This window comes from Homo sapiens, chromosome 10 (assembly GCF_000001405.40).
Source record: "Homo sapiens chromosome 10, GRCh38.p14 Primary Assembly".
In the NCBI taxonomy this organism is placed as follows: Eukaryota; Metazoa; Chordata; class Mammalia; order Primates; family Hominidae; genus Homo; species Homo sapiens.
The window spans coordinates 70977945-71000958 of NC_000010.11; the positions used below are offsets into that span (position 1 = coordinate 70977945).

The window sequence follows — 23014 nt, forward strand, 5'->3', positions numbered from 1 at the left end:
AAATCAGTCGTCACCCCTCTACTTAGCGCACTTTTCAGCAGCCTGGCGATTTATTACTGGTATTATTGTTAATGACATTAATAACGAGGCCAACGACACCATTCGTGGCTTGTACCACACTTTTGTTTTCCTCCGAAACACACTTCTCCATGGTCCTCACCCCTCTTTGTGAGTGTGACATTTGACATCCAAATGGGTAAACTGAGGCAGAGAGCTGCTGTGTCTGATTAACCGAGGTCAGCGAGTGAATCACTGGGGAGGGGAGGGCAGCTCTGTCAATTCCAAGTCCAGTATTTTTAGCTCCAGACCAGGCTGCCTGCTTTCACCCCTCTTGTGTGAGTCTAAGCTTTTCTTGTGTATCCCACCAGCACCTGGGCTTAACCTAAGGAGCACTGGGCGGGGCGGCTGACAAGTTTGAGTTGAAGCCACCTTCTCCAGCTGCTAGCTACATGACCATGGGTAAGCTGCACTCCCCAGCCTCAGTTTCCCCTCCTGCCACATTGGGGTGCCTAATCATCCCAGCATGGTGAGAGTTGAGGACGTTGGTGGAAGTAGCAGCTTGGGGTCCGGCACGTTGTCCAGGCTCCTGCTCTGCACCTAAGTGTCCCCCTCAGGTCAGAACTTGGCAGGTGGGGTGGAGGTTATCTTTTTCTGCTTGGGCTGGCTGGAAAGTCCTCTGGCCTCCAGTGCCAATTTTCCCAAAGCTGCCCTTTGTGTGTGTGAGTGTGTGTGTGTGTGTTTCTGCATGTGCACTATCTGGCCAAGGTCAGGGGTGAAGTCTTATTCTACAAGAAAGGTCTCTAGGCAACAGGTGGTGGTATGACAGGCCAACATGTCACCACTGCCACCATCTCCCGCCCCTGCCACAAGCTGAATGATGAGAAAATCAAAGGCTGACCTTCTCCTCCGCAGCCTCCCTGGTCCCCAGCTCCTGTGGCTTTCAGGAAGGAGAAGCCTCCACACTTGTCACCTGTGGTAACCCAACCCTGGTTGCCCACCCCAGCAGGTGAGTGCCACAGAGTTCAGTCCCTGCCTTCCATTCCTCTGCGTCTATTTCTTCTTGCCCCTTCCCTACCCTGAGCACCACTGGCTGGGGCACCCTTCCCTGCTGGCAGCCCTCCAGGACTACCTTCCCAGACTCAGGTGGAGGCCTTGCCTGGAGGGGCCCCTGCCAGACTCTCCATTCCTCGGGGCTCACCCTCCCAGTGGCACAGGCTCCAGCTACTCTGCCATTGGAGGCTCCCAATGGCCTCATCCTTCCTCCTGCCACTGTGCACTTCCCATGCTATTCCCATTTCCCGACACTTCATTCCTCCACTCTATCTTTTATCTCTCATTGTAAATGTCATTTTTTTCTTGGACACTTTTCCCGATCCCTCTCTACAGGCCAGATTATTTCCCACTGCCCCTCTCACATTCCGATAGCTCTCGTGCTTCCTCAGAGCCCTGTGGAAATCTGTTTGCATGTATGTATCTATTTAGTAATGGTTTCTTTAACGTCTGCCTCCCTCAGAGGGTAAGCTCCATGCCAGCTCACTGTCTCTGTGCAGGTGGAAGGAGTGCCCGGTGTTTAGCACAGTGCCCTACCACAGGAGGTACTCATTTGGTCCACCAATGAGTGGGTCCATGAATGAATGTGGTCGGTATCACTGCTTCTGCTCTTCAGCTTGGAAACTGAGGAATAATGAGGTGGTATCACCTGGCCAAAATCCCACTTATCAGAACCAGAAAATCACACCTGGTGATACCTGGTTCTGCCCCCCCATGTGGGGACAGGATCCTTATTCGTGGGAGCCAATTATGTGCTCCCAATGATGGTGTTATACTCCCTTAAAGGGCAGCAAGGGAAGCCAGTAGAGGTCCTTATGTTGTTCCAGACAACAGTGTGTGACGTACAAATGTCCCTAACACTTCTCCTGCCCCTGTGCTAAATTACTGGGACCAGGAAGACACTAGAGCAGACATCTGGCAGCCCTGGCTAACCAAGAGGCCCATCTCTAAGCTCGGCAGAGCAGAGGTTGTGAGGACTCCACCCAGACTCACTTTTCCCTCTATGCCCATTCCTAATCCTTATGTATCTTCCAGTGGTAGTACAAGCCCCTCTTCCTCGCAGGAAACCCTCAGCACTTTCTCTGTCCTCTGAGTGCTGTAACCTGAGCAGTCTGGGGCTCTCCTGGAGCTCTATGAGCAGAAGGAGATTTAGGGACCCGCTTGCCCGGCCCTCATTTGATACATGAATTTACGGAGGATCAGAGAGGCCAGGTGACCTGGCAAAGTCACACAACTGATTACCTGACTGATTGGGGACAATGATGCAATTTTTAACATTTTGAGTATTTCAAAATTTAAATTTTTTTTTTACCACTTTGAGGACAAGGGAAAATGAACAACCTCAGGAAATGTGGTAATAGACATCAAAATAATGCATAATTTTTAAAAAGAATGCATCCTTTTGACCCTCAGGATGCAATTTGAAATGGGTGCAAAGATGTATGCACAAGGATGCTCATCACAGCCTTGTTTATGAGGGCAAAAAACTGGAAATAGCTTAAAGGTCCAACACAGAGATTGGTTAAATAAATTATGGGGCATCCATGTGATGGAATACCATGCAGCCATTAAAAATGATGGCCCAGTAAAAGAATATTTAACGACATGGGGGAAATGTTCACAAGATGTTGTTAAGGAAGAAAAAAAAAGCAGGCTGCAAAACAGCATGTTCTATATGCCTCTGACTTTGCTAAAACAATTATTAAAAAGCAAAGCCCAGGGCCCCTGAAGTTATTTATGATATTGTTATGATATTAAAGACATCAGCCTCATTAATTCCTCTTTCAGTATGGCTCAGCAGAAAGCATGGGAATTTAATGTCTGAAGGCCTGATTCTGAGTCTGGGCTGTGCTCTTTATTAACGGGGTGACCTTGGAGCTCCAGACCTCACTTTCCCTCATCTGTGAAATGGGGATGAGGCCTCCATTGGAATGGTGTTGAAAGATACCAAATGTTGCACAAATGATGTTCAAGGATTGTGTGTGCATGCACGAAAGATCTTGGCAAACTGTACAGAGCTGTACAGATACTGAGAGTAATAGGTATTTTTATTCCCTAATTAAACTTAGGACTCTGTGAGGGCCCCATGAGATGTGACATTCTTCCCTGTCACTCTGCAGCCAGTGCAGCGTCTCACACACTGCAGCGCACAGGAATATGGGTGGGCCTGCCCCCCCACCCCCAGCCTCAGGCCTGCCCTTCTATCCCTTTGGGTCATCTCTGCCTGCCCGGGGCTGGGCTTAGCATTGCCTACACACAGAGGGAGAATGCAGCTGTGGGTGATGCTGTGGCTGGGGCTGTCTAGGGTGTTCCCAGCATCCCTGCCTCCCCAGCCCCTGCAGGACCAGAGGAGTGGCCCGATGCGGAGAGTGCACCAGGTGTGGCTCCAGGGCCAAGGCCCAGCCAGAAGGCAACAGGCCCTCAGCACCTATTATGGACTTTATCTGACTCCTTAGGGAGTCTCAGGGCTGCAGGGGGGCTGCCTGCCTGCCACCTGTGGAGGACTCGGGTCAGGCTGAGGCTGGGCCTGCCCTGTCCTCTCCTCCCACCTCCTTGCAGTGGAGGATGGGCCAGTCACACCTCCTCTCTGCGTCTTTGCTTCCTCCATTACCCCACAGGCCCCTCCTGGCAGGGCTGGGGAAATTTTTACCCACTCTCTGAGGGAGGGAAGTGAGCCCCAGTGATGGGAGGTGGCCTGCTCTGAATCCTGTGGTCACTGAGTTAGGCTGAGCCCCCAGGCCTAGTTCTGCCCCCTGGCCCTCTGGTCATCCCCACCAGCCCCTCAGCGGAGGGAGGGACGTCAAGCCAATAGAGTCAGGTACTTGGGGGGCACTCAGGGAGCAGTCCTGTGCACTCATATTTTCTATTCATCGTTCTCTCTCCACATGCTTTGTATGCTTTTGCTCTGTGCGGCTCCAGGCTAGATAGAGGCTGGAATTGTTTTGGGGGAAAGCTGCAGAGGCAGAGACTGATACAATCTTTCAGGTGTATGGGAAGAAAATAATAAAAGTGGCTCAGTGTGGTGAGAAGATGCTGCAGAAGGTGCTGTTGGGCCTCACCCAGGGCTCCCTTTGCCTGAAGATGGGCCCGTTCCCCAGCTGCTGCTGGGTGACCAGCGCTTACAACTCCAGCGACTTCCCTGGGGGCCAGAGCTGCTGCCCACAAACAGCCGAAGGTGACAGTCTCTCCTGCTGTCAGCCTACTTGGCCCCTTCCGTAAACAGAACAACTTCACTGTGCCATGATTTACTCTCTAAAGGCTCTCAGTGTGTCGGGTCAAGGCCAGGCCTTCCCTAAGACCTTCCCTTCCCTTCCTATCCTGCTCCCCAACCTCCCTCCCATGAGGGCTTTACTGAAGAAGCTGCTCCTTCAGAAAATCTTGTGCCTCGAATCCCTGCCTCAGGCTCTGCCTTGAGGGAACATGTCATGTCGCCTCAAATCCTGACATGCCTTAGCTAAATATAACAGGCATAAACACTACACATTGGAGGCTCTGCCCTAAATAGAAAAGCTTCCAAGCACATTATTTTTAGCAAGAGAAAATAACTTGAACCTATCAGAAAACATGCTAAAGACTGGACTGAAAGTGAAACCTAGAAATTTTCTGGTTTTACAAGCCTGGCTGGAGCTAACATACATTCACGGCAGATGCACACGTGACAAAGATTAGGTCTGTGCTGCACTCAGAGAGAACACGAATCAAACTTTGGCATGGCATGTTCCAGGCAGTGTCTACTGGACTCCAGCCTGTGGTACAGGCAGTATTGGTCAAGCCTGTGCCCAGCCTCTGACAGCCCCTTGCTGGGGCCAGCACCCCAGAGTCCTTCCAGGTCTTGCTCCTAGAACCCACAGGGAATTCCCCCGGTCACAGGGAATGGCTGTTGGCTCAGGCAGCACCAAGTGCAATGTTTTTGCCCCAATCCCTTCTCATCACCTTTCAAACCTCAGCCTCCTCCAGGAAGCCCACAGACATGTTCTATCCTCTTAGCTTCTCCCTCCCTGACTGTCAGCAGGCTTCAGCTGGCTCCATTATGAGCAGCTGGGAACAGAGTTTGGGACACTTTTTGGCCCCATCCGTGTGCACAGGATGGGCACACAGTAGAAAGGAAATGCTGGAGAAATACACACCTTCAGAGCGGGATGACTTGGGCCATCAGACATGCCCTGAATTCTTAGTCTTCCCTCAGGTCACAGGGCAGACATCCTCCCAAGTCATGCATCCTCCTCTGACCACATGTCCAGTGTCTGTTGGTCTGCAGGCTGGAGCTCTGTTAGTCCTGCTCTCTGCCCTATCCTAGTGCCCAGGACAGAGCCTGGTACACAGAAGTCACTCAATCAATGCTTGTGAAATGGGAGAACATCTTGAGAAGTGGCCCACACCCAGACAAGGGAGGATACTGCACACAGACAGGCCTCTTGTCTTCCTCACATGTGCTGGGCCAATGACATGTGGTGAGAAGAGGCTGTAAAGTGAGCCTGCCAGGGCCTCAGGGTGGCAAGGGACAGAGGCTTGCTTAGGCTGCCACAAGGGACAAAGTTTATCTAAGGATATCAAGGTAAACTGTGTTCAGGATCCCACCTGAACAAGCCAAATAACAGCAGCTATCATTTACTGGGATCACGGACTGTGTACCAGGCACTGGCTAAGCATTTTCTACACACTAGTTTACCATTGCAAAGAATACAAAGGAGCAGGTTTTAATGCTCGACATCTAACCCCCTTCCTGGTGGCCCTCTAGGACACCAACCCATCCTTATTATGTCAAGTCCTTGGGAGAAGGGCAATTCCAGGTATTCATTGTCAGACACTAAGCGGGGGCAGATCTTTCCTCTTCCCACCCTAGGGACAGTCAGGAGGTGAGCCGGTATCAGACACCCTCCCAGGACTTTGGATACCCAGGAGGTGAAGCTGGGATGGACGGAAGTGGGTAGAGTTGATATCACAGCATTGGTAGGAGCCTTTGTGTGCTGGGGTTCCAGCAGGAAACATGTGGCACACTCCTAGGGGCTATTGGAGGAGAATTCGATGAGGACAGTGAATTAGTGTATGAGCAGGGCTAAGGAAAACCATCAAGGGTGATACAGTACCCTGAGGCTAACAGTGGGAGCTCTCACCACCCCAATATGAGGGGCAAAGGGAAGGCATGGCCATACCTCTGTAGAGAAAAGCTGTAGGAGCGGCCGCACAGTGGAAGCTATGGCCTTGGTAGAGGGGCCCATCCAAGGAGCTCTTGCCCTTCCTTCTGTGTCCCGCCACCCTCCATCCTCCTAGGACACTTCCTAGGTAGTGGGTGGTGGCAGTGAATGCACATTGTCTGGCACAAGGTCATTGCTAGTTTGCTGGTTTCTGTTTCTTACATTTTCTTGGAAATCTGTTGATCATCCAAATTTCCCTGTAGGCTTTTAGGAGATCTTGTTTTGCTTAAGTTAGCTAGAGGTGCTTTCTGTTGCTTACAACCACAAACTCTACAAGGCATTATATTAGTCCGTTCTTGCATTGCTATAAGGAAATACCTGAGACTGGGTAATTTATAAAGAAAAGAGGTAATTGGCACATGGTTCTGCAGGCTGTCCAGGAAGCGTAGCAGCTTCTGCTTCTGGGGAGGCCTCAGGAAGCTTTCCAATCATGGTGGGAGGCAAAAGGGGAGTAAGGTGTCTCACTTGGTGAGAGCAGGAGCAAGACAGAGCAAGGGAGGAGGTGCTACACACTTTTAAACAACCAGATCTTATGAGAACTCACAACAACACCAAGAAGGATGGTGCTAAACCATTCATGAGAAACTGCCTCCATGATCCCATCACCTCCCACCAGGCCCTACCTCCAGCACTGGGGATTACATTTCGACATGAGATTTGAGTGGGGACACAGATCCAAACCACACCAGGCATCATGGTAGTATTATTCCCTTTAACAAGGAAACTGAGGCTCCCAGAAGTTTTGGTGTTGTCAGATCATATAGGCTGGCAGTGGCCTGCATGAGTCAGGTTGTGAAGGCTGCTCTGGCTGTGCTTAAAGCTCTTAGCATAGAGCAGCTGGGCACATGGGGGTCTAGAAGGCTGTTGGTCCCAGGCAGTGGAGGGCCTGGGTCACCTTTTTGTCAGAGGCGTTTAAACCAGAGCAACTCCATCTTGAATAGGGCCTGGGTAAAATAAGGCTAAAACCTGCTGGGCTTCATTCCCAGCGAGTTAGCATTCTAAGTCACAGGATGAGAAAGGGGTCAACATAAGATACAGTCGTAAAGATCTTGCTGATAAAACAGGCTGGAGTAAAGAACATTTACTCCAGTAAGTTAGCATTCTAAGTCACAGGATGAGAAAGGGGGTCAACATAAGATACAGGTCATAAAGATCTTGCTGATAAAACAAGTTGGAGTAAAGAAGCCGGCTAAATCCTACCAAAACCAAGATGGCAACAAGAGTGACCTCTGGTTGTCCTCACTGCTACACTCCCACCAGCACCATGACATTTTCCAAATGCCACGGCAATGTCAGGAAGTTACCCTACATGGTCTAAGAAAGGGAGAAACCCTCAGTTCGAGGAATTGCCCACTCCTTTCCCTGAAAACTCATGAATAATCCACCCTTTGTTTAGCATATAATCAAGAAGTAACCATAAAAATGAGTGACCAGTAGCCCTGAGGGCTTACGGAGTAGCCATTCTTTTATTCATTTACTTTCCTAATAAATTTGCTTTTAGTTTACTGTATGGACCCGCCCAGAATTCTTTCTTGTGCGAGATCCAAGAACCCTCTCTTGGGGTCTGATCAGGCCCCTTTCTGGTAACACCTTCAAGAGTTTAAGGATTACAGCTCAGCCACTTCCACCTTGTGTCTGCTTCTCTCTGCGTGTGGCTGACCACTTTCCTTCCTGTCGCTGACTGTCCAACCACCTGTGGCCCTGGAGCAGCTGGCAGGCAGAGTCATGCCAGACCAAATAGGGCCTCGCTCATGGAACAGGCCAGAGCAGGGCTGGGTGGGGAAGGTGACTTGGCAGTTGAGTTTGAATAAACAGGTCACTGTGGTGTTGGGTGGGACTAAAGCTGCTGCAAATTAGCCTGAAGGTGGAGGCAGAGCTAACAGGGAGGAAGGAGGCTGCAGGTGGGCCCAAACCAGTCCCGCCTTGAGGGAAGGCCTGAGGCTGAGGGTGAGGAGCCCACACACACCTGCCTTTCTCCCCTCCAGCTCAGACAGGATGCCTCAGCCTGAAAGCTGTGATTTCCTCCCGGGGAGCCTCCCCAACCTCATACACAGCCCCTAACCTCCCCATCTGGCCCGGACACCCCCATCAATCACTCGGCAAAAATCCCTGGCTTTCTTGCATAAGTATTAGGTGCTTTGTCAGAAATTACCTAAGTTATAATCCAATTACACAATAATTACATTGGGATGGCTTCGTAACTACGGCATTAATTAACTTTGATGGCTCTCATAAATTACTCAGGGGATTGATACAGTGGGAAGAGGGCGGGTGGAGCCCAGTGGGTGGGAAGGTGGGGCTGAGGAACCATTAGTCGTCCTGGGGTCAGGAGGCCCCTGGAGAGTGATGGGGGAGGGGAGAAGGGTCCTTACGTCCCTCCACCGACACCCAAGCACAGTGTCAGGGCTGGAAGTGACCTTCAAGGTCAATCACCCTAAACTTGCCTCCTCTGTCCGGTGCTTGAGCCCTTACCCTGGCAGTGTAGAAACTCTAGTATAAAAAGCTACTGCCCCTTAAGGGGCACGCAGTGTAGAAAGAAGCTTGGACTTCGGAGCTTTGCTTTCTCTGAACTTCAGCCTTGCTGCTTGGAAATGGGCAGGAGCAGTCTCCTCACATGATGTCGCGTGGCCTGAGTGTTCAGTGGACGCACACCCTCTAGCCCAGCTCCAGCCTATAGAAATAGGATGTGGGCCTCAGATGTAAGGCAGGTGCGTAGTGTTATATTGTCCAGGGGCCCAATTAAAGAAGTGAAAAGAAACAAACAGGTGAAATTAATTTCTAATAATACATGCATTTAATCTAATATATCTAAAATATTATTTCAAAATATATTTAATGTAAAAAAGCATTAACAAGATATTTCTCATTCTCTTCTTATTCTAAGCCTTTGAGACCTGGTGTGTCACTAAGCACCTTGCAGTCAAGCACCCAGGGACCACATGAGGCTGGGGATAGGCAGATGAGTGTGTGCTTGGCATAAGCTTGACACTCATTACCTGCCAGTCCCCTGTCCTCATTGCTGAAGCCTATGGCCTGTCTGCCTATGGTCGAGTCTCTTCTCCAGGACAATCTTTCACACTGTGGCTGGGGTGGAGGGTGCAGGCGGTAAGTGCTACCCGAATCTCCACTTGCTCAAGCAAAACAGTCCTGGATCCTCAAAGTCTTGTTGGTTGAGCACATCCAAACCATCACCAAGTACAGTCTTTAAAACACAGCCTGGATGCAACCTCCACTCCACCTCCACTACTGTGATCCAGGCCACCCCATTTCTTCCTGCACGACCAGGGGAGCCCCTGACCGGCCTCTGGGCTTCCCACCTTCCCCCTCCTACCCACTGCCCACTCTGCATCAACAAGAGCATCAGTGGGATGGCGCCATGGCCTCCCATCAAGAAGAGACCATGGCAGCGGTTTGGGTGCAGGTGGCTGAGCTGGGCGGTGATCCCGGGAGGTATCATGGAAGTATCTGGAGCGTGAGGAGGGGAAGGAGGAGGAGCTGATGGAAGAGTGTGTTATTGAGGCTGCCGCCATGAGCTGGGGGGCTTGCTTCTGCCGGGTCTCTCAAGAAACATGCAGAAGGCCTCCAGGGTTGCCCCTGAAGCAGCATGGGCACTGGAGCGTTTATCCATGGGCTTGGTCCTGTGTTTGAGTGTGGCTGTGCAGGAGCTTATTCCCCTGCATTTGGGGACTAAGCTCCCGTGCAGGCGCAGGGGCTCCCCAGGTGTCAGAGAAAGCCCTGAGGCTGAACACGTCCTGAGGGTGTGCAGGTGTCCCGAGGATGGACCCCGCCAGCATGAGGCCTACCAGGCTGCAGCTGAGATAGCAAGGCCAGGATGCCGGGTGTCTGCCACATCTTTTCTAAATGTTTCCTTCAGAGGCTTTCTGTTGACCTTAGAATGAAATTTAACCTCTTAAGGCAGCCTTTGAGGCTCTGCCCAATCAGGCCTCTAAATACCTTCTCTCCTCACTCCTCACCACTGTCCCCACACCCCTACCCTTTAGCCTTCTGTCAGATTCCAGAAAATTCCAAGCTTTTTCCTGCCTCCAGGCCTCTGCACTTGTAGTTCCTTCTGCCTGGAATGCTTTCCCCAGCCTCTTCTCTCTGGCTCCTCCTCTCTGGATTTCCCTCCCAATGTCACCTCCTGAGAGATGACATTTCCCCTGACCTTCCTACTTCCAGCTGCTGTGCCACCCCTCGCACTCTAGCCACGCTCTTTTCCACCATTCTTCTTCAATTACTTCACAGTTCTCAGTAATTCCAGAAGTAACCTTATTCCGGGGTTTTAAAGCTCTGCATCACTAGGCCCTATCTCCCACAAAGGCATGGTACTGGTCCCTGTTGTTCAGAGGTGTCCCTAGCACCTGGAGCTGGGCCTGGCACCCAGAATGAGCTCAGGAAGTACTGCCTACTCGAGTGACGTCATGGCCGCTCCACCTTGGGTGTCTTTTGGGTAGTCTGTGTGCGTCTCAGGCAGAGGGGAGTCTGGTCCTGGGCCTGAGAGGTGGAGAGTGGGTCTGTCCCCTCCTTGTTCTGGGTACTGTGCCTCTATTTATGCAGCCTGAGGTCCCGCTGGAGTTTCAGCTGCACATCATCATGATGACTGGCAGGCACTGGGCTTGGCCGTTACTGCCTCCTACTCTGGGCCTGGGTCTGGGGTTGCAGAGATTGAGGGTATCAAGGAGGGGCAGGAGATAGAGAGATGAGTGCACCCCACAGACTGGGTGTGGCAATCAGAGACAAGAGGCAGTTTCCTGAGAGCCAGCTGTGTGTGCGAGGCAGGAATTTCAGGAGTCCTGGGAACTTAGGAGTTGGAGGGTGGGGTTCATGGAGCCACTCCCCTCTGGAATCCAGAGGTCAGACCCCTTCTCAGCCTCTGCTCCCACTTCCATGAGAACGGCCTCTGCCTTCCCTCCATGGCCTAGTTGAAGGTTTAGCTTGGCACCCCTTTGACTTACCGGAAAGAATCCCTTGTCCAAGGGTGTCTGTGAGCTCCATGGACTTCCCTGGAAATGTAATGGAGGTGACAGCAGTCACCTCCTTAGACCCACCAGGAAGATGATCATGAGAGAGACAGACAAGGCCCAGTGTGGGTTGGTGCATACCGCAGCTGGGTCTTTCCCTCACAGCTGGTGGGATGTGAACTTGCACAGCAACTTTAGAAAAACTGTCCTGCAAGCTGCACATACACAGACCATGAGCCAGGCCTTCCACTCCTGAGCACGCGCCAGCAGCAGCGTGTACATGTGTTCAACAAAAGAACGTTCAGAGCAGCAGCACTGTGCATAATTGTCAAAAATGGGAATGACCCACATTCTCTTCCAGGTAGAATAGGTAAGTAAACCGTGAGCTACTCAGCCAGTGGAATACTCCATGGGATGAGGATAAAAAAGCTATAGCTACAGTGCAGCAACATGGCTGAAACTCACAGAGAAAACGCTGAGATAAAGAAGCCAGACACGAAATAACACACCTGTATGATTCTGTTTCTGCGACGTTAGAGGCAGGCAAAGACAATCTCTGCGGCGGTTGCTTTGTGGGGAGATAGTTTCCTGGGAAAGGCATGCAAATCCCGCAGTGTCCTGTGTCTGACCTGGAAGTTTGCTCTGCACGTCTTCACTTTGCCACGATCCATTGAACGGTGGCAGTGTGATTGTGTGCTTTGTCTTTGTGTGTTATCCTTCAATAGGACATTTAAAAGAAAACCCCCATGAGCTTTGTCTTCCCTAGCTGAAGTTCCTTCTCTGACTTGGCACCACTGGGTTCGATGGTCTGGTTTTTTTGTTGTTGTTGTTTTGTTTGTTTGTTTGTTTGTTTGTTTGTTTTCCGAGACGGAGTCTCTCTCTGTCGCCCAGGCTGGAGTGCAGTGGCGTGATCTCGGCTCATTGCAAGCTCCGCCTCCTGGGTTCACGCCATTCTCCTGCCTCAGCCTCCCAAATAGCTGGGACTACAGGCGCCCGCCACCATGTCCAGCTAATTTTTTTGTATTTTTAGTAGAGATGGGGTTTCACCATGTTAGCCAGGATGGTCTCAATCTCCTGACCTCATGATCTGCCCATCTCGGCCTCCCAAAGTGCTGGGATTACAGGTGTGAACCACTGCGGCCGGACGATGGTCTGTTTTTATCTCCTCTGTCTCCACCAAGTGTCAGACTCTCAAGCTTCCTCTTCACAAGCCTGCCCCCTGGCCCTCCACATCCCCCCAGGATCTGCCATTTCCTGCCCGCTAATTATGTAGAGCATTTTATGTTTGACGAGGCTCCTGCCCCCAAATAACAAACTCAGACCCAGCATCAGGCGCAGCGCACCAAAGGGCACTGTGAATAGGACCCAGGCTCTGTGAGAAGGCAGCTCAGGGACCATATTTTGTGATATTAACATGTTCCTCGGAGTCTCATTCCTCAACCCAAGAGGCAGACCAACATATTATTTCTCCAAATAAATACAGCGTGGTCCCCAAGAGGAATTCCCGGGGTGACTGTTGAGAAAGTAAAAGTGCCTCCTTCTCCTTTGTCTTGTTTTACAGAAAGGCAGACAGAGGATTGGGGAGGGAGGGTGGTGGGCATGGCACTGGCCAAGATGGGACCAGAGCCAGGATCCCTGCTCTGGGCATCTAGTGCTGCCTCCTCTCTAGCGCCTGGGTCCAGGGCGGGCGGTGGTCGGGTTGTGGCCGGATGCTGTTTCCTTACCCAGGGTTTGCATCCCTGGCAGGAGGTCTGTTGGGAAAGAAATGCCTAAGCACCCACACCCAGGCTTATTTGTTTGAGGAGATGAGCCTGCAGGCACACATTGTACATCTCAGGCAGTGTGGACACTTGGGCAGACAGGAGAGCTGGGGGAAGGGCACCCCGCTAGACACTGGGCACCCCAGATGCCATTAATTCAGGCCTCTACACCCTGGAGAGTTCCTGCAGCTAAACATGTTTTACATCAAACTGCAGTCTCCTCCCTCGCGATCCCACAGCAAAGTGGGAGCTCCTGGGCCTCACCGGTCCAGGGCTGGAAAGAAATAGTGGGGAGAGGAAATGAAATGAGGCAGCACACATGTTAGCCCTGGGATTAAGATGGGACCTCCTTCTCAGTCTCTTGTCACAGATTGCTAAATATTGTGGGCGTTCAGTAGTGGCATGTGGCTAAATATTTAACAGTCTGATCTCCAGGAGGCGGAGGGGAAGCCCTGCTTTGTCATGTGTGCCAATTTCTGTGGTGTAAATGCTCCCACCACGGCCAGTTTCCAGCTACCAACCATCAACTGGTTCTTGAAATTTCTGAAGTTTTAACAACCAGCTCTCTTGCACAGGTGTAACCTGGCTCCAGCAGCAAGTCCTGGGGAGGGGACTGGCCTTTGAACCCTCCACAAGCTAGCAGGTTTTGGAATTTGTCTGCAAGGCCACAGTAAAACATACAATAGAGGTTGCAACATATTCTCTTAGACCAAGATGTATAGTGTGCCCCTGTGCTTTTCCCAAGGCTCTTCCGCTAACTTTGCCTACAGTATGAAGGAGTTGCAAGTAGGGTTGAACTAAACACATGGAATATTCTTTTTTCTTTTTCTTTCTTTCTTTTTTTTTTTTTTTTTTTTGTTTTTCGAGACAGAGTCTCACTCTGTTGCCCAGGCTGGAGTGCAGAGGCACGATCTCAGCTTACTGCAGCTTCTGCCTCCCAGGTTCAAGCAAATCCTAAGTAGCTGTGATCACAGGCATGCGCCACCACGCCCAGCTAATTTTTGTATTTTTTAGTAGAGACAAGGTTTTGCCATGTTTGTCAAGCCGGTCTTGGACTCGGGCGGCTCAAGTGATCCACCCACCTCGGCCTCCCAAAGTGCTGGAATACAGGTGTGAGCCACAGTGCCCGGCTGCATGGAATATTCTTGTTCAGAAAAAGTACCAGCAGAATTAGAGAGCACACTAGTTATCATTATTTCAAAAGTGCCTCTTTCAGATATTAAATTAAGACTGACTTTTTAAAAACATCCAATACTATTTTAACCCCTTCCAAAACAGAATGTATCACAGTTGGCCAGCGCAAAGTATTTCCATGATTATCTCATTGGATTCCCCAATACAGAGTGTGACTAGTCCCACTTCACAGGTAATCTAGCGAGACTGTGCACTTTATCATCCAAACCGGAACAGTTTTGAGGCTGTCAGGCAGTACCTGTTATGCTAGGGCAACAGGAGTAAGCAGGCTCCTTCCCAGCCCCCGTAGGTGAGGAGCACGGACCCTGGAGAGGTTCGCTGACTTGCTCAAGGCCCCACAGCTGCAAGCAGGACTGAGTGCTCCTCTGGGCTCCACAGGGAAGCAGTGTTCTCGGGCTGACTAAGGGTAGGTGTGCGTGTTCCCCTGGATCTACAGACTCCTCTGGAGTCACAGGGGTTGCGGACACTTTTCCCTCAGTGGCATCCAGCTCTTTGGAGCCTTTCCTGAGAGCCAGTTCTGAAGGGTGAAGGCCTGGAGTGCCCATGGTGAGGATGGGAACAACGGGGTGTGGTGGCATAGGGAGGGGAAGGCAGCTTCCACCCGCTCACCATTCTGTCTCTTTGTTGAGAGCCTCCGTCCACAGACTTTGGCACCTGTACAGGGTAGCCTGACTTTGGAAAGCTTGCTGGGCATGGCAAGGCTGTGGCGGGAGACGGCAGGGAGAGGCTGCTGGTATGTTTCCTTTCCTCTCTATCCAACCCCATAGACCCTACATCACTACACCTGGCCTGGCTATCTGATTTGCAACAGGGGAAGTGGCTCCAAGAAGCGACATCTCCCAAGCTATTATTTGCCTCCCATTTTGTGCTGGGTGGAGAAGGGGAAAACATCCTTACTGTGGCCAGAAATGGACCACATCTGTCAGGCCACCCTCTATCCTTCCATTACTGGAACTCAGTCCTCATCCTGGAGGATCACATCAGCCAGGTGCCTCAGCACCTCCTCCAGGAAGCCTTCCCAGAATCCTTCTTCCAAAGAAGAATAAAGCCTTCTGCCCCGCAGTCTCAATGCCTTTGTTGTGCCTAGTTACTGGGCTGGGGTGTGTAAATGCCTCTGTCCTGCTAGAGGGTGAACTTCTTATAGGCAGTCCCTCTACCTTGTCTAGTTCTCTCTCCCTGCAGAGCCCTGTGCAGAGGAGGCACTCAGCAAATAGGCAGGCTGCAGACCGGCATGGTGAGCAAGACTAGGACTTGGTGTGGCACACACCTGGGAGATTCCACCTTTAATAATCGTTCAGTTATTGAATACTTACTACCTGCTAGACGCAGTCTTAAGATATGACACATATTCCCGGCTTTCATCACTATGCAATATATTCATATAACAAAAGTGCTCTTGTATCCCCTAAATCTGTTTTTTTTTAAAAAAAGACATCACACATATTAACTCAATTAACTCTAACAACAACCCTAGGGCAGAAGGTACTATTATTTTTCCCACTTGTCAGATGGAAAAACTGAGGTTCAGGAGGGTTAGGCACTTTGCTCACCTCACTCAGCTTGGGGAGAATACAGTGCAAGGGTGTGGGATTCAGAGGCAGAGTGCTTGTGTCTATAGCCGGGCTCTACCACCTAGGGCAATTAACCTCTCTGTGCCTCAGTTTCCTTGTGAGTCAAATGGGATTACTAATAATTTATTTCCCATTCCCAGGAGGAAGGTCTCCTTCTCCCAGGGTTTGTAGGAGGATCAAAGGGGATAATGGATGTGGACGATCTCTGTAAATCGCAGGATGTTGTACAAATGTCAGGCATTAATACGTGTTGACTCGAATACTCTCTCTCACAGCCCCTCTGGTCTTCAGAAGACATGGTTCTTCCAAAAACCAATCCCCTGGGATAAAAACTGGCATTTCCTAATCCCTTCCAAGCACAGAGGCAATTTGATGTCCACAAAAGACTTCTTGGGAGAATTCGATGACCTGATTAAAAGGAAGTTGTGGGGCAGGTGTCTATCTTGCGAAAAACATTGACCAGGGCCCTGTCTTCAGCAAGGTTGTCCCAGAGGGGATTTTCCCGTTCTTTTTCTTTGGAAAAAAAATTTAAGAATTACTAAATATTGAAAAGATTAGGAAAAGCAGACTGGCACAAACATGAAAATTAAAATATCCTATAATATCCCATTACCCAGAGAGAATGGTTCTGAGTTCTGGGTGAAGTTTCTGGGTTGTTATGATACTAGATAGAGCCAAGCACCCAGAAATTCCCAGATCACAACTCCCCTTCCCCAACCCCGTGCGGAATTCTGATCGAGGAACTTGTATACAAGAAACAGTGGCCGGATGAGATTCCAATTGCTACTCTATGAGTAGATTTATGAATGAATGTGGAACCCTGGTAAGGGATAGGATGGAGAATATGGCCCAGGCCTGAAGCCTTTGAGGGGCTTTCTACCCCTTTCCCACGAAATCAAAGCCGGCAGCCTCTTTGGGGCAGGACCGACCTGCCTTCTGCAGCCTGGGACAGGGGTGGAAGAAGTGCTTCACTAGTGGCTGTTCAGTGCAGTGACCTTGCCCCCTAGTGAAGGTGGCCCCCAAATATCCTAGGCTTGGACCACTCTCAGTTAAACTCCTCCTCGCTTATGAGGTGGAGGAGAGGAGAGGGTGGGAAGAGGGGCCAAAGTGTAGAGACAGGTGGGAGTTCCCTCCACCAATAACTCTGGCTCACACTTTATAGACAGCCATCCAAACTTTATTATCTTTTGACAAAAATAGATTTCTATATCATTTGTAATTAATTTTATTTTCACTGGTTAATACATGCATGTGATAAATAAGTCTAACAGTACAAAAGAGAACAGAATGGAAAATGAATTCCCCTCCCATCCCTGTCTCTCCACCCCTCATTTGCCTCTGAAGGGACCCCCACTATTAGCAGTTTTCTGAGTCTGTCTAAAGATGGTCTAAAGACGTGATGGTGTGTATGCATCATTCTTCATGGCTCAAGGTATTCCATTGTGTGGCGGCACCTGGAATCATTTGACTAAAGCTTAATCACTGGGCAACCAGGCACTTCTTAAGAACACTTGATTAACATTTAGATACACATCCTTGAGGCATTTCTTCAGATTAATACTTAGGAGTAGGATCACTGGGTTGAAGAGTATGCCTGTGTTAAAGAGTCTCAGGTTTGACAGCCCAATCGCCCCCACCTGGAGAAGGATGTGCCACTTCTCACTCATACCCACAGTATACCATCATGATGCGCTTTTCCCGACACACAAACCAACACTGGATTGAGCGAATCTTTGCTAATTTGCTACGTGTTAAGTTGCATCTTACTATTATTTGAGTTTGCATGTCATGAATTATTAGTGAAGTTGACAATTTTTCTAATTTTCCTTCTGGTTTATTGGCTCTTTGAATTTGTGAATTCCTAGTTTATCTTTTCCCAATGGTTTGAAGTGCTCTTTGTATTAAGACTGTTAACCCTTTGTCTTTCATATATGGTAAAAATGTTTTTTTTCCAGTTTGTTATTTGCCTTTTGGCTTTGTCACAGCGTTCTTGGGAAGAATGTAATAAGATTTTGGGGTATATAAATAGCTGATATAAAATGGTACTTTCCCCCTTTTCTGAGAATCAAACAGAAAAAATGAAATTGAAGGGAGAAAAGCAAGATCTGACAATGACTTAGGAAGGACTTCAGTTACAGGGCTTTCCAGATTTTAAAGAGAGTGAGTGATCCTGGGCCACTCACAGTCTGTCTCTGGGCTCCCAGCTTGACCCACCCAGCCCTGCTGCTCCCCACCGTGATGCACAGCCACCTGAATAGCTTGTCCTCTGGCCATGCCTGCAGAGCGTTTAGGCCGGTGTTGGACTCAGTACACCCTTAATAAATAGGAGCTGTGGCTGATTCTTCCATTCACTTGACAGATATTTCTTGAATGGCAATTATGTCCCAGGCACTGTTCTGTGTCTTAGGATGCTGGAGTGAACAAGACAGACACAAGTCCCTGTCCTCTGGTGGAGCTGACATTGTAGAGAGGGGAGAGAAGTGTTGCTGCTGCTTGTTGTTAAGGGGTGCTGGGTGGGGAAGGCTCAATTCTAGAAAGAACTTTAGAAGTGACTTAGTTCAATCTCATGATGGGCCAGATGGGGAAACTGAGGCCCAGTGACAAAGTGACTTGCCAAGGTCACCAAGCCAGACAGTAGTAAAGATAGAATTAGAACTGAGGTGAATAAAGGCCGAGGGTACCTCCCAGGCATTATTTTTGTACAGGTAGGTGGGTTCATTGCTATGAATTAAACCATCTGACACCGACTTACCTTGGCAGGGAGGGATGGTAAGATGTCAGCTGGCCAGAGATGAGGGGAGGTAGTGTTCTGGAGGGGCTACAAAGCGGGATGGGGAGTGGGACACAGACAGACCCAGGCTCCCCTGCATTTGGAGGATGTTTGCTCACCCACCATCCTACTTGTAGGGACAGAGAGAGAGACAGAGAGAAAGAAAGAGGGAGGCAGGACTCAAGTGTGGGGCAGAATGAGCTGCCATGAGCCAGTTTCACCTGAGATGGTTGTACCATGAACCTTGGGGACCTGGGGACCAGCCCAACTCAGCTGACCCTGCTGCAGGACTGTGGGCATGTCACCTCCTACTGCCAAGCTGGCTGTGGGCTGTGGCCCTTTGCTGCCCTCTTCACACTCAGGTGGGCTTCATGCCTTTAGCACTGCAGGAGGCCACTCTTGTCAGGTCCTTGGTTCCCCATGCTTTAGGATGTGACCTGCTTGACTTGTGCCCCTGAGGCACTGAGTCAGAGCCTCCTTCCCAGGGGAACAGGGACCTGAGAGGCACCCAGCTAAGTTCCCTGACTATGCATCCTCAGGGCACTTGGTGAAGGGAGGTAGTTGTACCAGCAGGTACTCAACAAATAATACTGTTCGCCTAATGAATGAAAAGGATGATAACAATGTCCAGTCAGGCATCCCAGCTCATGGAGATGTGAACATGAAGCGGCTAGTTTTCCCCCCAGTAACTGTCGATACCCTGTTAACACACCCACCCTGGAGGATCGAGCTCCATTAACCACAGCTTCCTGACTTGTTTATTAAGTAGTCTTACTCCCGTTCTCTAAAAGCCAGTTCTGTTTATTTAAATCCTGCAGGCTCCCATTTAATTCAAGGCTCTTGCTGTCCTACTCCCCATCTTTGACATCCAGGAGGGAAAACACTCCCCTCCTTTCTAGATTCCAGTCTCTTCTGATATTGGTGGGTGGTGGGGTTGGGCAGGATGGGGCAGGCAGTGGAGGGTTGGCTGCCTGGGCTTGTCTGGGAGGCCCTGTGGGGAGCTGGGCCCCACATTGGTGGTCCTGTGGACGTCCACGTGAGCCCTTGCTCTCCTCTCTTCCCAGCTGCAGCCTTGAACATCATCCTCTGGACAGCAGGATGCCCCTGTCCACTATCTCCATCCTGGCATCATCGTCATAAGAACCATCATTTACTGAGAGTGTACTATGTGCCAAGTGCTGTTCACACCTCAGTGCTCGTGCTGATGACAACCCTGTGAGCTAGTCCTAGTTTTTCCGCATTTCACAGGTGAGAAAATGCACACTTAGGAGGTGTAGCAACTTGCTCAAGGCCTCTCAGAAGCAGCATTTATACCCAGGCCTGCCCACTTCCAAGGCCCAAGCTCCACAAAGCCTCTGTGGCTGAGTGTGGGGCTGGTTCTCCATGTGGTGGGAGAGCTGGCTTTTATCAGGGGTCCCCCAGGAGCGTGCTCTACCCTCAAAGCCCCTCTTTCCCCAGGAGGGTCAGGAAAGAGGAATGTTGAGATGAGACTCCCTATACCCTGAAACCCCTAGGGCAAGGAGCAGGGTCTCTAGGTTCTGGGCTAGGAATACCACCAGCACATTTAGGCCAGAACAAGAAAGAATCTCCTGATCAATGGCTCTTGTTGGATTTGAGGAAGGGGGTCCAGGGGGCTTTCTGGGCCACGTCCATGATGCCCTGGGATCCTCGCTGTTGCTCCTCCTGGCCCAGGAACTCTCAGTGGGGCTGGGGCTGGGAGGCGTCCATGAATCAGGGGGCAGAGGAAAGGGAAAGCATGTGGAGGGGCCGGGAAGGAGTGCTGAGACCCACCTTATGGTATGGCACACTGCTTCCTTGCAGGCCTCGCCCCATTAGCTCAGGGTTAATTACACCAGCAGGACAGGGATGCTGTGGCAGGCAGGAAAGCTTTTCTGGGAGTGTCCCAGCCTCACAGTTGACATGTGCAAGCCGCACTCGTGTCTCCTGACCAGGATACCTTTGTTATGGTGAGGCAGGGAGAACGAGACCATTTTTCAAATCAGACGGGGGTCCCTCCTCCAGGGACTTCAGAAACACCCCCTATGCCTACCACAGGGCCCAGCTCAGACCCTCTGCTCAGACCCTGGCTACCCTCCCCCATCCCTAAACCACTCATGGGACCTCTTTGCACAGAGGTATTATGGTCACAGGGATGGGTGGACCCAGGAATGGATGGGTTCACTCTTTGGGCCCAGCCTTTGCCTGTACTGAAAACATCCAGTTTGAGTTCTGCCTGCACACCTTGAAGCAGGTAATGCTATCAGACACCTCAGGTCACTCAGCCATACCTCTCCCTCCTGGGCTGACCAGCTCTACACAGGCTGGTAGCCTCCTGATATAGTTTGGAGGCTTGGCCCTTCCAAATCTCACGTTGAACTGTGATCCCCAAATGTTGGAGGTGGGTTTAGTGGGAGGTGTTTGGGTCATGGGGGTGGATCCCACATGAATGGCTTGGTGCCCTCCCCTCGGTAATGAAGGAGTTCTTGCTCTATTAGTTAACCCGAGAGCTGGTTGTTAAAAAAGCAATGTGGCACCTCCTTCCTCTCTCTTGCTCCCCCTCTAGCCATGTGATGCCATCTCCTCTTCATCCTCTGCCATAAGTAAAAACTCGCTGAGGCCTCACTAGATGCAGATGCTGGTGCCATGCTTCTTGTACAGCCTGCGGAACCATAAACCAAATAAACTCCTTTTTAAAATAAATTACCCAGCCTCAGGTATTCCTTTATAGCAACACAAAACAGACTGATAGACCTCCCTCAGGTGCAACCTGACAGTGACTCACCTTACTCCAGGTGCGAATGAGGCCCCCTTGTCATGACGTGAGACATCTGCAGGAATCTAGGTGGCACTTCTGCATGTGCAAATCGGAAATGTGTCAATATGTGTGCAGACACCTGTGTGTGTGTGCACGTCTCTCATGTCTCCCTCTGTCTCTGTGTGTGTGCATATGTCTCTCCTGTCTCTGTCTCTGTGTGTGTGCACATGTCTCTCATGTCTCCCTCTGTCTCTGTGTGTGTGTGTGCATATGTCTCTCCTGTCTCTGTCTCTGTGTGTGTGCACATGTCTCTCATGTCTCCCTCCATCTCTGTGTGTGAATATGTCTCTCCTGTCTCTGTCTCTGTGTGTGTGCACATCTCTCATGTCTCTGTGTGTGTGTACATATCTCTTGTGTCTCCCTATGTCTCTGTGTGTGTGCACATGCCTCTTGTGTCTTCCTCTGTCTCTGTGTGTGTGCACATCTCTCGTGTCTGTGTGTGTGTGCACGCATGTCTCTCGTGCCTCTCTGTGTCTCTGTGTGTGTGTGCACATGTCTCTCCTGTCTCTGTCTCTGTGTGTCTGCACATGTCTCTCGTGTCTCTGTCTCTGTGTGTGTGCACATGTCTCTTATGTCTCTCTCCGTCTCTGCATAGGTGTGTGCGTGCATGTCTCTTGTGTCTCCCTCTGTCTCTGTATGTGTGTGTGCACATGCCTCTTGTGTGTGTGTGTGTGTGTGTGTGTGTGTGTGTAGAGGGCAGTTAATGCCCACAGGCAACCTTTGACCAATGGGAGATGAAAACTAATGAATAAATACTTCCTGTGTTTATTGCCCTCGGGGCCTGTCTTAGTTCAGGCTGCTATAACAAAATACCTTAGGCTAGGTAATTTACAAGAGAAAGTTATCGTTCACAGTTCTGGAGGCTGGGAAGTCCAAGATCAAGTGTGCCAACAGAATCAGTGTCGTGGCAAGGGCTTGGTCTCTGCTTCAAAGATGACGCCTGTTGCTGTGTCCTCATATGGCAGATGGGGTAAATGAGCTCCCTCAAGCTTTTATTAGGGCACTAATTTCATTTATGAGGGGTGGGGAAGCCCTCATGACCTAATCACCTCTCAAAGGTCCCCCTTCTTTTTTTTTTTTTTTTTTTTTTTTGAGACAGAGTCTTGCTCTGTCACCCAGGCTGGAGTGCAGTGGTGCAATCTTGGCTCACTGCAAACTCCTGGGTTCATGCCATTCTCCTGCCTCAGCCTCCCGAGTAGCTGGGATTACAGGATCCCGCCACCACGCCTGGCTAATTTTTTGTATTTTTAGTAGAGGCAGGGTTTCACTGTGTTAGCCAGGATTGTCTCAATCTCCTGACCTCGTGATCTTTCTGCCTCGGCCTCCCAAAGTCCTGGGATTACAGGTGTGAGCCACCGCGCCCGGCCTAAGGTCCCCCTTCTTAATACCACCACCTTGGATGGTAGGTTTCAACATATGAATTTTGTGTGCGGGGGGACAAAAACGTTTAAACCATAGTATTCCTCCCTTGCTCCCCCAAAATTCACGTCCCTCTCACAGGCAAAATACATTCATTCCATCCCAGTAGCCCCACAAACAATAACTCATTTCAGCATCAGCTCAGAAGTCTAAAGTCCAGAGTCTTATCTAAATATCATCTAAATCAGATATGGCTGAGACTTAAGGTACCTCCATCCTGAAGCAAATTGCTTTCCAGCTGTGAACCTGTGAAATTAAACAATTTATGTGCTTTCAAAA

General features: G+C 50.2%; 1 long non-coding RNA gene across 1 annotated transcript, besides 3 other annotated features; it reads left to right on the forward strand.

Moving 5' to 3' along the window:
* The first annotated feature begins 912 nt into the window (after nt 1-912).
* Nucleotides 913-21201, forward strand: LOC105378350 (uncharacterized). Its single transcript, XR_001747493.2, has 3 exons — nt 913-1006; nt 19566-19749; nt 21065-21201. It is a non-coding gene; the product is annotated as an uncharacterized LOC105378350 (long non-coding RNA).
* Nucleotides 3020-3521: an enhancer, noted in NCBI's record as "H3K4me1 hESC enhancer chr10:72740721-72741222 (GRCh37/hg19 assembly coordinates)". NCBI's record gives its function as "activates a minimal SCP1, AML or CMV promoter by ChIP-STARR-seq in primed H9 embryonic stem cells {active_cell/tissue: H9 hESC(primed)}" and the evidence as "EXISTENCE:reporter gene assay evidence [ECO:0000049][PMID:30033119]".
* Nucleotides 3522-4021: an enhancer, noted in NCBI's record as "H3K4me1 hESC enhancer chr10:72741223-72741722 (GRCh37/hg19 assembly coordinates)". NCBI's record gives its function as "activates a minimal SCP1, AML or CMV promoter by ChIP-STARR-seq in primed H9 embryonic stem cells {active_cell/tissue: H9 hESC(primed)}" and the evidence as "EXISTENCE:reporter gene assay evidence [ECO:0000049][PMID:30033119]".
* Nucleotides 4748-4827: a silencer, noted in NCBI's record as "silent region_2458". NCBI's record gives its function as "represses an Ori minimal core promoter by ATAC-STARR-seq in GM12878 lymphoblastoid cells {active_cell/tissue: GM12878}" and the evidence as "EXISTENCE:reporter gene assay evidence [ECO:0000049][PMID:35858748]".
* Nucleotides 21202-23014: the final 1813 nt, after the last annotated feature.